Source organism: Homo sapiens, chromosome 2 (genome assembly GCF_000001405.40).
Source record: "Homo sapiens chromosome 2, GRCh38.p14 Primary Assembly".
NCBI classification, from domain to species: Eukaryota; Metazoa; Chordata; class Mammalia; order Primates; family Hominidae; genus Homo; species Homo sapiens.
Window position 1 is genome coordinate 74,023,333 of NC_000002.12, and position 16,009 is coordinate 74,039,341.

Sequence of the window (16,009 nt, forward strand, 5' to 3'; positions counted from 1 at the left end):
CCTGGGCACAATCACTCCTCCTGCCTCAGCCTCCTGAGTAGCTGGGACTACAGGTGTGCGCCATCACACCCAGCTAATTTTTCTATTTTTCGTAATGATGGGGTCTCACTGTGTTGCCTGAGCTGGTCTTAAACTCCTGGACTCAAGTGATCGTCCTCCCTCGGCCTCCCAAAGTGCTGAGATTACAGGTGTGAGCCACAGCGCACAGTTTAGTTATGATTTTCAGGAGCATTTTGGAACTCAGAGTTTTTCTGCACCTTAATCCAGAGACTTTAGGCTGTGGGACTGAGCCTAGCTTGGCCACATCTGGTTGGTGACTTCCAGACAGTGGCTCCCAGTGGCTCTGGTGATTGATATTATCAGTATTTCTATGACTTCTTGAATATGTTTTCCTAGAAAATTGTTCTTTAATTCATGTTTTCAAAGTTTTTAGTAAAGCATTTCACAGATGGTGGTTATATTCCTTTTATATTTCTAATATTTGTTTTTTTCTTTTTAAAATAACCAGTCTTGTCAGAGGTTTGTTTGTTTTATTGGTTTTCAGGAGAGTCATCTCTTGGATTCATTTATAAATACCACTACATTTTGTTTTCTAATCCACTATTTCTGTCTTTATCCCTCCTGATTCAGTTTTTCCTACCTTTCTTTGTTTTTATTTTCTAGCTTCTTGGATTGAAGCCTCAATTACTTTTTTCTCATTTAGTAAAACTATTTATGAAAACATGAATTTTTCTAATAGATACTGTTCTCACTGATATTTAATCTTTAGATATGTAGTTGTGTGTGACTTTATTTTTTTCCTTCATCCTGGAGTTATTTAGGAGACTTGCTTAGGATTTCCAGATGTTGTATTCCTTTCAGTTAGCAAGGGCTTGAAGGCTGCCTTCCCAGGGCCCTACTCGTTTGCAGACCAGTCTGTGAGTCTGTGCTCTGCATGGTCTTGTATGCTCATGGTTGGAACTTGTGCAGGTGTGTTGCTGAAACTTTGAGTTGGCCCTCTGGCATGCACATGACAGGGGCTGTCTGTGCCCTCTGTGTGTGGAGGGAAGGGGTCTTGGGAGGAGAGAGGGTGGACCCTGTTCCCAGGCACTCTGTTTCTCCTGTCAGCCTTGCCTCTTCAGGCTGTTGCCCAGCCTGGAGACCATCCAGGCGGCCCCCTTCTTCCTTGCCCTCTGCTCTGCGGTGGTCATCCGGTACCCAGGGTGGTGTCTGGGGCTCAGTGTCCCTCAGTGTTAGATGAGCTGAGGGCTGGTGGAAGGGGGATGGGATTAAGTCAGAGAACTTGAGTTCTGGAGCCCCTCCTGCCTCCAACCAGCCATTTGTCAGTGACTGCTTGTTTCACCGTTTCCTGTTCCTCGTTGTAAGATTTGGGGAATGTTACCTTTTCACAGAAACTAGAAAAGCCATAGATACCATACAGTAAACATCACTCTTTTAAAAAATATTTTTTATTTCGGCATAATTTCAGAGTTTTACAAAAGTTGCAGGAATAGTACAAAGAATTCTCTTCACTTGGATACCTAAATGTTAATATTTTACTACATTTGCTTTATCCTTTTCTTTCTCTGTAATTTGTATTTGAACCATTTGAAAGTAAGTAGCAGGCCAGGCGCCGTGGTGGTGGCTCACGCCTGTAATCCCAGCACTTTGGGAGGCCGAGGCGGGTGGATCATGAAGTCAGGAGATCAAGACCATCCTGGCTAACACAGTGAAACCCCGTCTCTACTAAAAATACAAAAAAGTTAGCCGGGCGTGGTGGCGGGTGCCTGTGGTCCCAGCTGCTCAGGAGGCTGAGGCAGGAGAATGGCGTGAACCCGGGAGGCGGAGCTTGCAGTGAGCCGAGATTGTGCTACTGCACTCCAGCCTGGGTGACAAAGCGAGACTCCGCCTCAAAAAAAAAAAAAAAAAAGTAAGTAGCAAAACTGATGTCCTTTACTACTAAATAGTCAAATGTAGGTTTTTGTTTTTTTTTTTGAGATGGAGTCTCGCTCTGTTGCCCAGGCTGGAGTGCAGTGGCGCGATCTCGGCTCACTGCAAGCTCTGCCTCCCGGCTTCACGCCATTCTCCTGCCTCAGCCTCCGAGTAGCTGGGACCACAGGCACCCACCACCACGCCCGGCTAATTTTTTGTATTTTCAGTAGAGACGGGGTTTCACCTTGTTAGCCAGGATGGTCTCGATCTCCTGATGTCGTGATCCGCTGCTGGGATTACAGGCGTGAGCCACCGCACCCGGCCTGAATGTAGGTTTTCTAAAATCATGTCAATAACCACAAAGGAGCCATCAAAATCAGGAAGTTAATGTGGATACAGCATTATTATACCAGCTAACCTAGGCTTACTTAAATTTTACCAATCGTTACAACCTCTCTTGTAAGAGAAACCCCCCAGATCACATGCTGTGTCCAGTGGTCAGTTTGTTGTTTGTTTAAGTCTCCTTTAATCTGGAGCAGATTCTCAGTTTTTCCTGATATTTTTAAAGAATTGTTTTTGGCCAGGCGCTGTGGCTCATGCCTGTAATCCCAGTGCTTTGGGAGGCCAAGGTAGGAGGATCACCTGAGGCCAGGAGTTTGAGAGCAGCTTGGGCGACAGAGTGAGACCTCATCTCCAAAAAAAAATAATAATAATAATTGTTTTTAAGCACATGAGGAAGCTGACTCCTTGTCCTCATAGCTCCCAGGGAACACTCAGCTCCTAGTTGTGTGTCATCAGCAAAGCCTAAGGCAGAGAGGTGGGGCAGGGCCCAGCTCCCCAGGAAGCTGCCTTCTGCTCTCCCCTTTGCCCCTCTGTAATACCAGGCCACAGCATCCCACCCCACCCTACCCCACCCATTCCCTGGCTGGTTTGGTGTTAGCCTGGGATGGAGGCCATCGCTGGGGGGAGAGAGGGACTTTGACACTGGTCTGCCACTGCCTCTCCCTGAGATCAGGGCTGAGGAACAGAGATCACTGCCTTGGGTAGGGCCCAGCCGCTGCTTTCTGAAGAGTAACACCCTCGGTTTGGGGATGTGGGTTTTAACACCCCTGTCACCCCCCTCTCCCCCACCCCAAAACTTTGAGGCCAGTGGCCGGGGATTGTTAATCCCCAGTCAGAGGTGTGTGTCCCAACTGAGGTATGTCCCGAGGGTGAGCCAGAGGGAGCAGGTTGCCTGTTCTCGGACCTAAGGAGGTTCCAGAGTGGTTATTTGCATTACAAGGGCAGTGCTTAACAGATAATTGACTGTTAGGTTATCTTTTAGTAGCAGAACTCCCTTGTATAATAGATATTAAAAACATGATTTGTTTTTTAACAAATGATTTGCATTTAGCTTTTTAAGGTCATGCTTATTGCATATTATGCATTCTTTGTCTCACTTATTTTTATTTTATTGAATCGCTCGCAAACTTCCCCTCCAACTTTTTTTTTTTTTTTAATTCTAAGGGCCTTTGAACCAAGTTCCATTTCCTGTTTTCTAGTTATCTGTGACTCTACCCAGGGAATCAGCTGGTTTTAAGTCAGTGGTTCTCATTTCCAGGCCCCCTGCCCATGCATTTCCAGAGCTCATCTCTCTCTTCCCCAACCCAGAGCTCAGGGCTGTCCCAGCTTGCTTTTCTCCCCACTCAAGAGTTGCCACCACTCCTACTGTCCCCTGCAGTGACGTGGGAGGTATTCTTCCCATCTTTCTTTGACGGAAAAGGGACCACCACTACTTTCCCTGAGATAAGACCCTCCTGTTTTCACTTTCACTTGTAACCCAGTAGGGAAATAAAAGGAGAGAGAAATGCTGATGAACGAGTTGCAGAGAATGAATTGCACGACACTCTTGCCTTTCCCTTTCCTCTGTCCCTGTCTCCCAACCATTGTTTGAGGGTGAGCTCACTGGCTCACCCACCCTCCTTGAGCTTGTGTTCAGTTTCTGCTTTTGCCTCAAAGCTGCTTATGGAGATGCAGATGAAGGATCAATGTGTGCTTTCTCGTTTTCTTAGCCTTTTAGACTTTCGGGGTAGAAGGTGGGTGATGAGAAGTGACTTTTTTTTTTTTTTTTGAAATTACAGTTTTATTGAGATATAAATCATATACAGTTCACCCATTGGCAGTGTATAATTCAGTGGTTTTAGTGTAGTCAGGATTGTGCAACCAACACCACTCTCTTAGTTCACAAAATTTTTATCCATCCCTAAAAGAAACCCTGTGGCAAATAGCATTCACTCCTCTTTGTTCCCCTAACCCCCTCAGCCCCTGGCAACCACTTATCTTTCTGTCTCTGTGGATTTACCCAATCCATGCATTTCATATAAATGGAATGTTATAGTATATATCTTTAGTGTCTGGCTGACTTAGCATAACATTTTCAAGGTTCATCCATGTTGTAGCCTGTGTCAATACTTTATTCCTTTTCATGACTGCATAATATTCCATTGTATGCACAGACCACATTTTGTTTATCCATTCTTTAGTCACTGGACATGTAGGTTATTTTCACTTTGGGCTGTTATGAATAATGCTGCTATGAACATTTATATACACGTTTTTGTGTGAACATGCCCATTTTAAAATTGGGGTTTTTTGGTTAAGGGGTTGTAAGAGTTTGTTATCTCTTCTATATGAGTTCCTTGAATATGATTATATGTATATATGTATATGATTTATAAATTTTTTTCCCATTGTGTGGGTTTTTTTCACTTTTTTTTTAAGAGGCAGGGTCTTACTCTGTCATCTGGGCTAGAGTGCAGTGGAGTGATCATGGCTCACTGCACCTGGAACCCCTGGGCTCAGGGGATCCTCCTGCCTCAGCCTCCCAAGTAGCTAGGACTACAGATGTGTGCCACCACCATGCCTGCCTAATTTTAAAAAAAAAATTATGTAGAGCAGGGGTCTTGCTTTGTTGCCTGGGCTGGTCTCAGACTCCTGGCATCAAGCAATTCTTCAGCCACCCAAAGTGCTGGAATTACAGATTTGAGTTACCATGCCTAGCCGTTTTTTTTTTCACTTTCTTGATGGTGTCCTTTGAAACTCAAAAGTTTTTAATTTTGATGAAGTACAGTTTATCTTTTTTCTTTTGGTCTCATATCTGAGAAAGTTCTGCCTAATCCAAGATAATAAATATTTATGTCTGTTTTAGAGTTTTATAGTTTTAGTTCTTACACTTGGGTCTTTGATCCATTTTGAGTGAGTTTTTGTATATGGTGTGAGGCAGGGGTTCACATGCTGTTGCAACTGGATAACCAGTTGTCCCAATTAAAAGACTGTTCTTTTCCCATTTAATTATCTTAGTGTCTTCTCACTGTTTTGTAGATGTTTATAGTAGATGAGAGAGCTAGATTGGTCTTTATAGCTTTTTTATTGGTTACTTGCATGTATTGTTTGGTATTAACATTTACATGATGTACATCAGTTATCTTCAAAATTTCTGGTGAAGGACTAAGTTTTAAAAATTTCTAATTCATGGACTGATAATTTTGTAAAAATAAGAATGAATTACTAGAAAAATGATCATGTGCTTAGATGCCATGACAATGTCAAATTGTGATACAAGTGTCTAAAGTTAACACTCTTAGCTTTTGTATTTACCTTGTCACAGACTAATGGAGATAGCAGAATAGTGCTAGTCCATAGATCACACTTACAGGAGTCCTGGCCAAGACTCAGCTGGCCATGCTCAATCTGCTTATCTCTTGCTGGGCATGTCTTCAACCAGTGTTTGTAGAACCATGGGCCTTAGGGGGTCTCATGATTGTTACCTTGGGGTACTGGAACAGCAAATACTAGTGTTACTACTGCTTCTCCTCCAATCTTGAAAGGGGCAGTTGTCCCCAAAGGCTTACTAGACACGTACCTTTTATATTTGTAGTCACCCAAATAAGATGAAGCCCTTGTACTAATGTGAGTAAAATCCTACCCCTACCTGTTGTTATCAAGGTTGCTTCCTACAGCCTTCAAGGTTGAGTAGAATCCATCCATTCAGCCTTTAGTGCCAAGTTGCCATCCCTGTTCTCAAGGGAATAATAAGCCCAAATAGACATGGAAGGAGGAGGAAAGACACTATTCCAACAGTCAATACGTCCCTTGGGAATATAGCAAACAGGAGAAAACCTAGAGATTCAGCCTCCGGGGCCCTGTGTGTGCTATATACATGCCAGAGAAAACAGTACAGCTATTAAAAATGAAATTCTTGAAGAATAGTTAACAATATAGGAAAATGTTTATACAGTTAGGGAAGAAATTAGCATATGAGAAAAAACCACTGATATACTCAGTCATCCCAGTTTTGTAAATTAAGTGTATGTTGCATAGTTAAAAAAGATACCAAATACAAACTATAGTCATCTTTAGGCAGTGGGAGATTTTTACATCTTTTTTATTCTCCACAGTGAAAAGAACCTCTTGTTCTGTCTCTCTCAGCAACTTCTACTGAAGCTGTCCTTTCTGTTCCTTATTCTATGCCTATGACCTCTCTTTATTCTCTTGGATCATCCACCAGGGTTTTCTCTGGCTCTATAATGAGTTTGTAGTATGCCTTTGATATCCTGTCAGTAACTACACTAGTGGCAGCTTCACTTGGAGATAAAGTCACTGTTAATATCAGTTTTCATTGCTTTCATCACATACTCAAAACCACAGAGTATGTATGTAACATGGGTTTATGTTGCCCTGCACATGTTAGTGATAGTGGTACAGTATCAGTTCCTAAAGGAACTTGCCTTTGAATAGGATCTAAGACAAAATCAAACGTCTAAAAAGTCCCTATCCAAGAGAAAGGACTCTGTTTGTTCACTACTCTATCCACAAAGAAGTGATGCGGAATGTATATTTGTTTGAGAGATAAATGAATGAATACATAATTATGTATGCATATAGGAAAGGAATGGTTGTTATGATGTGCTGATAGCATCAGTGAGTGACATCTCATAATTCTGTGGGCTGCAAATACTTATTTTCACTTTTTAAAAAAACTACCTAGTTTTCTCATTTGTGTGCTTGGTTTTACATAGTTGGCAGTCTAAACTTCATACAGTATGGTATTCTGCTATTCTTCCTATTTCATCTAGCTTTTTTCCTTAGTGTTTATAATTGCAGGTTTAGATGAGTGTATAATACTCTGTTGAATTGTATCATAGTTTACCAAACCAAGCCCCTCATACTGAGTTTTCAGCTTTCACTAATGTGTGGAAAGATTTTTTTTAATGCAAACTTATAAGCTCAAGTTTCTAGGAATAGCACTGCTTGATGGAAGTAGTCTTTATTGCTCTTGATAACATTTGTTCATGTGTTCATTTATTTGCTTATCTACAGATTTATTTACTTATTTATTTTTACTGTTTGAACCAAGACAGAAGTTGTAAGTTGTGAATTAGAAGGCACCCTGGCCTGGGAGCTGGGTGATGGGGGTTCAAGGCTCAGTGGGTTGAATATGAGTCCAACAGTAGTGTTCTGGGGTGGAAGCAGAGGCAGGGGGCCAGTCAAGGAGCCACCTCCTGAGTTTGTCCTTGTGAGAGATAAATGAGGAGAAAACAAAAAGAAGGCAGATCTGAAATGCTCTACAGGAGCAGTTGGCAGGACTAGGGTTTGCTTGCATATGGAAACATCAAGAGGACATCAGAGGGGATGGAAGGGTTTAGCCAGGATGCCCAGGGGAATGGATCTTAACGTGATTTTTTTTTGTAAAGGGATGTCCGGGGGGGAGTTGCTGAGGAAAAGGATGCAGGCGCTGAGTTAAGTTGTAAATGTGATGGGCTTAAGTTGCATTCAAGTGGAAGTGTGTCTGGTAGCTGGAAAGCAGTCAAGGAAAAAGGAAACTTTGGGGCTGTTGGTGCAGGCTGAGCGGTGGGGCCTTGATTGGAGGGGAGGCTTCTGAGGGGAGCATGGGGCGATGGAGAGCAGTGAGGGCAGGAGAGTGGAGAACAGCTCTGTTGAGGGGACGGAGGAGGAAAAGGAGAATGGAGGAGGACCAGTAACCGGCAGGGTCACGGAAACCCAGGGTGGGCAGGTGAGTGGGTGATCTGCTGCCACAGACAGGCCAGAGAGACGAGGGACCCCCGTGGCCTTCCTCATCACCCCGACTCTCAGAAACAGATAATGGTTGCGCAAATGCCTAGGTTCCTGTTCTGTTTCTCCAGCATTGCACCCAGGCCTTTCAGATGAACATGTGCAAACCCAGATTACTGGCATCTTTCAGTTATCTGGGCTAATAAACGAGTAGTGACTGTGGATAATGAAGCTTTACACACTAAGATGAGTTGTGTGACTTTTCCAGGAGTTGAAGTTTAGGATAAAGAGGATTAATTTGTGCTCCCCAATTTCCTGCCTTCTGGACAGCAGCAGGCTTCCCTAAATGGCATTTCCTAGCCTACTCTGTGAAGTTGATCTTGTGGCTGGTAGGTGGATACCCTCTGCCAAAAATTAATTTTCCTCTAGATTTTTGGGTGGTCACTTAAAGATTTATTTCTTTGAATGAAAAACTTAGGTCTTAAGTCCTTCAGAAAGGATTGAGTGGGGGCAAACACACAGGGATTCCTGTGAAAAGCTGAAATCCATGAATATTTATTGAGGCACATGTGGGAGCTCATTCTCCAAAAGAATGATTAGAACCTTGGTACCTGGGAGGCCATGGGCATCCACTATTGACTCTGATGTTGGATTCTACTTTGCCACTCACCAATTCTGAGCTTTGGAGTATGTTAGTTATCCTCTCTGTACCTCATCTACTAAAATGGATGTGGAATTGTTGGAAGAATAGAAAGGTTACATTTAAACGTAAAGGTGCTTATTTAAAGTTTGCACTCAGCACTCAAAACTGTGGGCTGCTGTCCTCCTTCTCTAAACCTGGCCCCTTTGACACACCTGAGCTGTCAGTGGGTTTTGAGGGATTGGGGGCTTCTTTAGGGAAAGTACATGGAGCCTTTAGTGAAGGACTGGCTCTGCGGGGGACTGTGGTGTTAGCAATGCATGCTTTCTGTTTCTTTAGCCTATTAGACTTTTGGGGTAGGAGGTGTGGGTGATGAGGAGTAGATCTGTGCTGTTGGGTGGGAGGAGTTGTGAGAATGCCCTGCCTCGCTGGGAACTGATGGGGGCTTTTCTGGCCATGGGACGTGCACCATGGGGCTTGGGCGATGGCCCCAGCGGCTGCAAGAGGGGTGTGTCTCTGTGTGTGTGTGTGTGTGTGTGTGTGTGTGTGTGTGTGTGTGTGTGTGTGTGTGTGTTAGGGGAGTTGAGGCCCTTGCTGGGTCTGGCTGAGGAGCTGCCTCCGCGTCATGACCTGGTTCTTGTGTGCTGGCAGCTTCAGAGCAGCTGCTGCTGCTTTTTGCCAGGCCTCAGATGTGGTTAGGCTCGATTTCCTCCCGGCTGGCCTCTGTCCACCGGCTGCTTGAGGCAGGGGCTTCCGTCAGGAGAGCTGGATCCTGCTCTGGGCCGCAGATCAAGAGGCTAGGGGTGGGGCATGGGGAGCCTGCAGAGCAGCCAGCAGCTGTGCTCCCCCTTCACCCCCACCTGCTGCAGGGGAGCGTGTGCTGCCCAGGCGATAACTTTGCATAGGTTAGAGTTGCAGGGCTATATTTTGGAGTTCTGGTCCGAGAACAGCAAGTTAGTTACATAGAACTTTTAATGGGTGGGAGTTTCAGGCTTGGCACCCCATCTCAACTAGGCTTATCTTCACCTTCCAGTGCGTCTCATCTCTTAGAAATTTTCTTCATTTTCTTTCTGCATTATGTGTGATCTGCCTCTGTGTTATAACTGCGTACAGCTCTCTAGCAACAGAAATAGCACAAAAAATACCCAGAAATTTTCCCTGACTGCTCCCTTCTCGTCTCGTTCACAGACATGTGTAGTTTGCAGTTTCAGGTGTTTTATAGGTGTTCTATTCTTAAATCTTTTTCCCCTAAATAAAAATGAAAATACCTATGATAAATTTTGGAAACTATAAACGAGAAAGTTACTCATCCTCTATCACGCAGAGGATAAGCACTGTTAACATTTCTGTATGATTCCCCTTGCTGTTTTGTGTGTTTACACAGGCATGCGTTGTGATTGAATTGAACTGTTAAATTGGGCAATATTTTGAATCCTATTTTTTCCCCCATTTCAAATATTATGTACTTCCCCCATCATAAAAACCTTCTGAAAGCATTCATTTAATAAGTACATTCTCAAGTTTCACTTTTTCATTTAATACATTTAGTTTTATGTTCTTATTCCATATCATTTTAAGCAGTTGTGTACATCTACTGATTAAATATTATAAACAGGCATACGTTGGAGATACTGCAGGTCCAGCTCTAAACCACTGCAATAAAGTGAATATGGCAGTACAGCTGGTCACGTGAACTTTTTGGTTTCCCAGTGCATGTAAAAGTTGTGTTTACATTATATTGTAGTCTAGCAAGTGTGTGATAGTATTATGGCTAAAAAAATGTGTACATACCTTAATTTTAAAATACATTTTTGCCAAAAAATGCTAACAAAGTAAGCACATGCTATTGAAAATGACACCAGTAAGATTTGCCCAATGTGGCTGGGCACGGTGGCTCACTCCTGTAATCCCAGCACTTTGGGAGGCTGAGGCGGGCGGATCACCTGAGGTCAGGAATTCGAGACCAGCCTGGCCAACATGGCCAAATCCCATCTCTACTAAAAACACAAAAATTAGCCAGGGATAGTGGTGGGCACCTGTAATCCTAGCTACTTGGGAGGCTGAGGCAGGAGAATCGCTTGAACCCAGGAGGCGGAGGTTGCAGTGAGCCGAGATCGTGCCATTGCACTTTAGTCAGGGCAACAAGAGCAACACTCTGTCTCAGAGAAAAAAAAAGAAAAAGAGACTTGCCCAATGTGAGGTTGCCACAAACCTTAAATTCGTCATTAAAAAAAAAAAACAACAAACCACCCCCAGTATCTGTGAAACACAATAGAATGAAGCACAATAAAACAAGGTATGGCTGTATTATAGTTTTTTTTTTTATGTATTACTTGAACCATACTTGACCCTAGTATTTTATATATGTTAAACAGATAAAGCATAATAATAAACACATGCCAGTTCCCCAAGTTAGCTGGAATATTGCCAACATCATTGAAATTACCTGGGTGTTTTCCCCCAGCCCTATCTCCCTTCTTCACCTCCAGAGGTAACCATTACCTTGAATTTTGTTATCATTCCCTTGCTTTTTAAAGTCTTCATTATATAAGTTTGCATTTCTGTACAATACATTTAATTTTGCTTGCTTGTTTGAGGTTTGTAGACTCAGTAGGACATATGTAGTCCTCGAGCATTGATTAAAAAAAAAAAAAAAAAAACCCTGTTGTAGATTCTGGGATTCATTGATGTTCCTGTGGCTCATTCATTGACACTGCTCTATAATATTCCATTGTCCATTCTGTAGTTTATGCTCCTTTAGAAATACTTCCATGATGTGATTTTTATGAGTAATGCTGCCATGAAAATTTCTGTACATGTCTCCTGATGCATGTGTACAAAGCTTTCCTAGGAGTCGGATTGCTGGGCTGTAGGAGATGTGCATGTTTGACATTAAAAGGTAGCACCACAAACCTTTTCAAAGTATTTGTTCTGTTTTGCCTTCCTGCCAGTGAGGTATAAGAAGTGGTTGTTGAGGGCCGGGCGCAGTGGCTATGCCTGTAATCCCAGCACTTTAGGAGGCTGAGGCAAGCAGATCACGAGGTCAGTAGACCAAGACCATCCTGGTTAACATGGTGAAACCCTGTCTCTACTAAAAAATACAAAAAAAAAAAAAAAATCAGCCAGGTATGGTGGCGGGCGCCTGTAGTCCCAGCTATTCGGGAGGCTGAGGCAGGAGAATGGTGTGAACCTGGGAGGCGGAGCTTGCAGTGAGCCAAGATCGCGCCACTGCACTCCAGCCTGGGCAACAGAGTGAGACTCCGTCTCAAAAAAAAAAAAAAAAAAAAGTTATTGGGGCCGGGCATGGTGGTTTGAGGTCAGGAGTTCAAAACCAGCCTGGCCAACATGGTGAAACCCTGTCTCTACTAAAAATACAAAAATGAGCTGGGCATGGTGGTGGGCACCTGTAATCCCAGCTACTCGGGAGGCTGAGGCAGGAGAATGGCGTGAACCTGGGAGGCGGAGCTTGCAGTGAGCCGAGATCGCGCCACTGCACTCCAGCCTGGGCAACAGAGCAAGACTCCATCTCAAAAAGAAAAAAAAAAATGTAGTTATTGGGGCCGGGCATGGTGGTTTGAGGTCAGGAGTTTGAAAGCAGCTTGACCAACATGGTGAAACCCTGTCTCTACTAAAAATACAAAAATGAGCTGGGCATGGTGGTGGGCGCCTGTAATCCCAGCTACTCGGGAGGCTGAGGCAAGAGAATCACTTGAGCCCAGGAGGTGGAGGTTGCATTGAGCCGAGATCGTGCCATTGCACTCCAGCCTGGGCGACAGAGTGAGACTCTGTTTCAAAAAAAGTATGTGGTGGCTCCTGCCTGTAATCCCAACACTTTGGGAGGCCGAGGTGGGTGGATCCCTTGAGGCCAGGAGTTTGAGACTAGCCTGACCAACATAATGAAACCCCTTCTCTACTAAATAAATAAATAAGCAAGCAAGCTGGGTGTGATGTTGTGCGCCTGTAGTCCCAGCTACTTGGGAGACTGAGGTACAAGAATCATTGAGCCCGGGAGGCAGAGGTTTCAATGAGCCAAGATCCCACCACTGCACTCCAGCCTGGGCGACAGAGTGAGACTCTGTCTCAAAAAAAAGTTCTTGCTAAACCCCGTCGGCACTTGGTATTAAACTAAAATACCCTCTCGCGGTGCTTACTATGTACCTGGTACTGTTATAAATGCTCTTCATATATTGTTTAATTTTCATAATAATCTTGTGAGATAGGTACTGTTACTCATCCCCAATTTACAGGTGACAAAACAGAGGCGCAGAGAGATTAGCTAACTTGCTTATGGTCACACAGCTAGTAAGTGGTGGGGCCACGATTCAAACTAAATGTTCTTCCTCTTCAGTCCTACGTAATAGGTGTAAAATGGAATCTTCTTGTGATCTTCTTTTGTATTTTTCTGATTACTGATGATACTGAGTATTTTTTCATATGTTTATTCCCTTTTCATGAAGAAGAAATATAAAATTTAAAACCATCTCCCTATTGTTGGGGCACTCAGGTTGTTTGTAATTCTCTGCTGTTCATGCTTGAGGGAAAATCATTGGCACATGTAGCTTTTTTATGTCTTCTGTTGGCTTGTTTACTTTTACATTTCCAGTGAAATTAAGAGTACTTAGTGGTTAAAAATGGCTGTGCTCTTCCACATTGCCTTGTGATCTTGAGGCAATTACTTGCCCTCTCTGTGTTTAGTGTCCTTATCTCTGATCTCCACCTTGGAGGAGCCTGTGGTGATTAAATGAGATAAGTGAATGTGCGACAATTTGCATGATACTCTGCCTGTCATAAGAGGGTTCCATCAGAGTCACGTAGAGACTTTTCCTGGTTCCTTCTTTTCCTTTCTTCCTCGAACCCACATTAGTTACTGTTAGGTCAGAGGACATGAACAAAGTCCTGTGCTTCTGCCAGATATGATGACCTCAGGGAATTAGGCCCATTTCAGCTTTTTTCTAAGTATCACCCCAGCCACTGACAGATTTGCTGTATCTGCCCATTTTGTAGTAGGAAAAAAAATTAGATTTTAAAATGTTTTACTGGTATGCATGTAGTAACCACAAGAACAACTGCCTCCCCCTCCCCCCATATAAGAATACCCTCTGCCAACGTATAATGCTCTCAAGAAGTTAGACATAATCCTGGAGTTGCTGTCTGCAGAGGTGGCCAGTTTGGGTATGGAGGGTGCAGACATGGGACTGGGCTAGCCAGTGTGCCCATGGGCACACACTCACTTCTGCAAGAACAGGCAGATGTGCACCTCCTCTGCAAGGGTTCCCCTAAAACTCTCTTTCTGCACTCGCTTATTAGTTTTATCAATAAATCTTCCGAAGGGAGAATCCTCTTAAGAAATGAATAATTGATCAACCCTAGACAGAACATGCCATAAATACAACCCATTTGCTATTAGAGAGAGTGGGGCCATCCATTTGGTGGCAAGGAAGAAGGAATTAGCTTTGTAAGGAGGTGGATTCTGAACTCTAGGACTGAGATAAAGGATGAGGCTGGAAAGAGCAGCCCCTTGAACAGCTGCTGTGGATCAGAGTAGCTGAGCTGGTGGTATGTGTGGTTGGGAAAGTACTGGGTGGAGTTTACTGGCTTAGCAGGGTGGGGTGTTGCCACCACTATCTTGGAGTCCCATGAGAATTCGCTTCAGGAGATTCCTTTGCAGAGAATGGGCTACTGGGCTCTGAAGGTTGACTACAGGCTAGTTCATTCTGGCCAAAAACACCTTCTTGGACATGGTTCTTCTAATATGGTGTGTAACTGCTGACAGTCAGCAAAACAGCCCTCCAGACTCTGTTCCTCTTGTAACTTCCCCTTTCTTAAAGGCCTTAAGAAGGTATAGCCAATCAGGACTTTGCTCTTTCAAGATAACATTCTTGTCTTCTCTCTTCCCTATTTTCCTTTAATAGAGAATTGCTGATCTGGTTTTGATGTGTTGAGAGTAAGGAAGGATTTGGGAAACCTGGTGTCATATCTGTATCCTTCACTGTGTTGTTGACTGAACGAGGTGTTTGGGGAGTGGCGTTCCACACTTTTCCAGCCTTGCCTGGCATCTGGGGGGCTCTGGAGTCCCCTGGGTGGGGAGAGCAGGGTGCTGCTGTTGAATGCCTGCAGATGTCTGGAGGACCAGCTCTGGGGATTTGGGAGTCTAAGAAGACAGTGCACTGTAGAGGAGGAGGCAGGGGACCTTGTGAGCTAGCCAGGCGGGGTGCAGGGTCACCTTCAGCACAGGGTCCCCAGCTCTCTGAAGGTGGGAAATGTGACTGGGGTTGGCGATGCTGTATGCACATATGAACTCTTCATGGAGTGTAGTGAAGAGTTATGTCTCTTCTTGGATCTGAGAAGGGCATTTTCTCTGCCTGAGTAATGTTTCCTGCCTCTCAGTCTCCTAGTAACAAATTCCTGCTGCCCCTAGGTGATGGGAACACACCTCCAACTTGGGGAAGACCTAGCCTGGGATGGGCATACCCCCTTTCAGTGATATTGTGAAGCAGGGAAGAAACCTGATGGGGTTGGGTGTGAGGACCCAGCGAGGGCAGGGAAAAGGGGTTTGCACCTGGAAGTTGGCAGTAAGATGTGCAGCACTAGCACCTTGGGCTTCTCTGGAGGCCCCTGTAGCCTTTGCAGACCTCTACCATGTGTGCATTGTAATGGGTGCCATAATAGCAGAGAGATCACCAACTCTGCCTAGAGCTTCCATGGGTCATCTCAAAGTATAGGGGTGATGAGGCTTGCACCAGCCAGGTCCCTAGGGAGGAAGCAGTGACAGAGCTTTTTGAATGCATTCTAGAGACTCCGGTAGGTTTTGAAGGTGTGGCAGATGCCTGGTTCCCTAGGAGCAAATGGTGTAGTTGACCATACACTCTTACGAAAAGATCCCTAACAGAACGTGGCTGTGCACGGTAACTGTAGGCTCTGGGGCAGCCTGTGGTGGAAAGGACTGGTCAAGGAGGACTTTCTCAGGGAGGGATTGATTCTGTTCCTTGTCTCACTGCTAAATTTAATCACTTAACCTCCATAACCACGTTTCATCCCCATCTGTCTGCTAGTGCCTTAGTTCAGGTCCTTATTGTTACTAATCTGGACAGTTGCATAGTCTCCTAACTGGTCTTTGGGTCACCAGCCTCGAACCCTGCAGTCTGTCTTCTGCAAGATGCCTGAATGCCCCTCCTGAGATGTAAATCTGCTCTCTGTAGCATTCAGGCTGTGGTCCACACACCTGCCTCCCCTGCCTTTGCGATCAAGATACACTCAACAGCTTATGCATCTCCAAGCCTGCCAGGGCTTATGATTCTGTGCCTTTTCACATGCTATTCCTTCCATCTGGAACTCCTGCAGAATTCTTCCCCTTCTTCCAAAATACCTGCTACTTTCTCCAGCCTCTCTGAGATTTCTTTGAGATAA

The 16,009-nt window shown here is 44.3% G+C and overlaps 1 protein-coding gene across 16 annotated transcripts in view, besides 7 other annotated features; it reads left to right on the forward strand.

Moving 5' to 3' along the window:
- Positions 1-16,009, forward strand: part of TET3 (tet methylcytosine dioxygenase 3) — a 151,868-nt gene that overhangs the window by 39,702 nt on the left and 96,157 nt on the right. The window lies entirely within an intron of this gene.
- Positions 2,350-3,227: an enhancer, noted in NCBI's record as "OCT4-NANOG-H3K27ac-H3K4me1 hESC enhancer chr2:74252809-74253686 (GRCh37/hg19 assembly coordinates)". NCBI's record gives its function as "activates a minimal SCP1, AML or CMV promoter by ChIP-STARR-seq in naive H9 embryonic stem cells {active_cell/tissue: H9 hESC(naive)}" and the evidence as "EXISTENCE:reporter gene assay evidence [ECO:0000049][PMID:30033119]".
- Positions 3,228-4,105: an enhancer, noted in NCBI's record as "OCT4-NANOG-H3K27ac hESC enhancer chr2:74253687-74254564 (GRCh37/hg19 assembly coordinates)". NCBI's record gives its function as "activates a minimal SCP1, AML or CMV promoter by ChIP-STARR-seq in naive H9 embryonic stem cells {active_cell/tissue: H9 hESC(naive)}" and the evidence as "EXISTENCE:reporter gene assay evidence [ECO:0000049][PMID:30033119]".
- Positions 7,432-7,933: an enhancer, noted in NCBI's record as "H3K4me1 hESC enhancer chr2:74257891-74258392 (GRCh37/hg19 assembly coordinates)". NCBI's record gives its function as "activates a minimal SCP1, AML or CMV promoter by ChIP-STARR-seq in primed H9 embryonic stem cells {active_cell/tissue: H9 hESC(primed)}" and the evidence as "EXISTENCE:reporter gene assay evidence [ECO:0000049][PMID:30033119]".
- Positions 7,934-8,433: an enhancer, noted in NCBI's record as "H3K4me1 hESC enhancer chr2:74258393-74258892 (GRCh37/hg19 assembly coordinates)". NCBI's record gives its function as "activates a minimal SCP1, AML or CMV promoter by ChIP-STARR-seq in primed H9 embryonic stem cells {active_cell/tissue: H9 hESC(primed)}" and the evidence as "EXISTENCE:reporter gene assay evidence [ECO:0000049][PMID:30033119]".
- Positions 9,006-9,105: an enhancer, noted in NCBI's record as "active region_16043". NCBI's record gives its function as "activates an Ori minimal core promoter by ATAC-STARR-seq in GM12878 lymphoblastoid cells {active_cell/tissue: GM12878}" and the evidence as "EXISTENCE:reporter gene assay evidence [ECO:0000049][PMID:35858748]".
- Positions 9,176-9,345: an enhancer, noted in NCBI's record as "active region_16044". NCBI's record gives its function as "activates an Ori minimal core promoter by ATAC-STARR-seq in GM12878 lymphoblastoid cells {active_cell/tissue: GM12878}" and the evidence as "EXISTENCE:reporter gene assay evidence [ECO:0000049][PMID:35858748]".
- Positions 9,410-9,555: a silencer, noted in NCBI's record as "fragment chr2:74259869-74260014 (GRCh37/hg19 assembly coordinates)". NCBI's record gives its function as "represses an EF-1alpha promoter that drives an FKBP-Casp9 reporter gene in an ReSE screen in HepG2 liver carcinoma cells {active_cell/tissue: HepG2}" and the evidence as "EXISTENCE:reporter gene assay evidence [ECO:0000049][PMID:32094911]".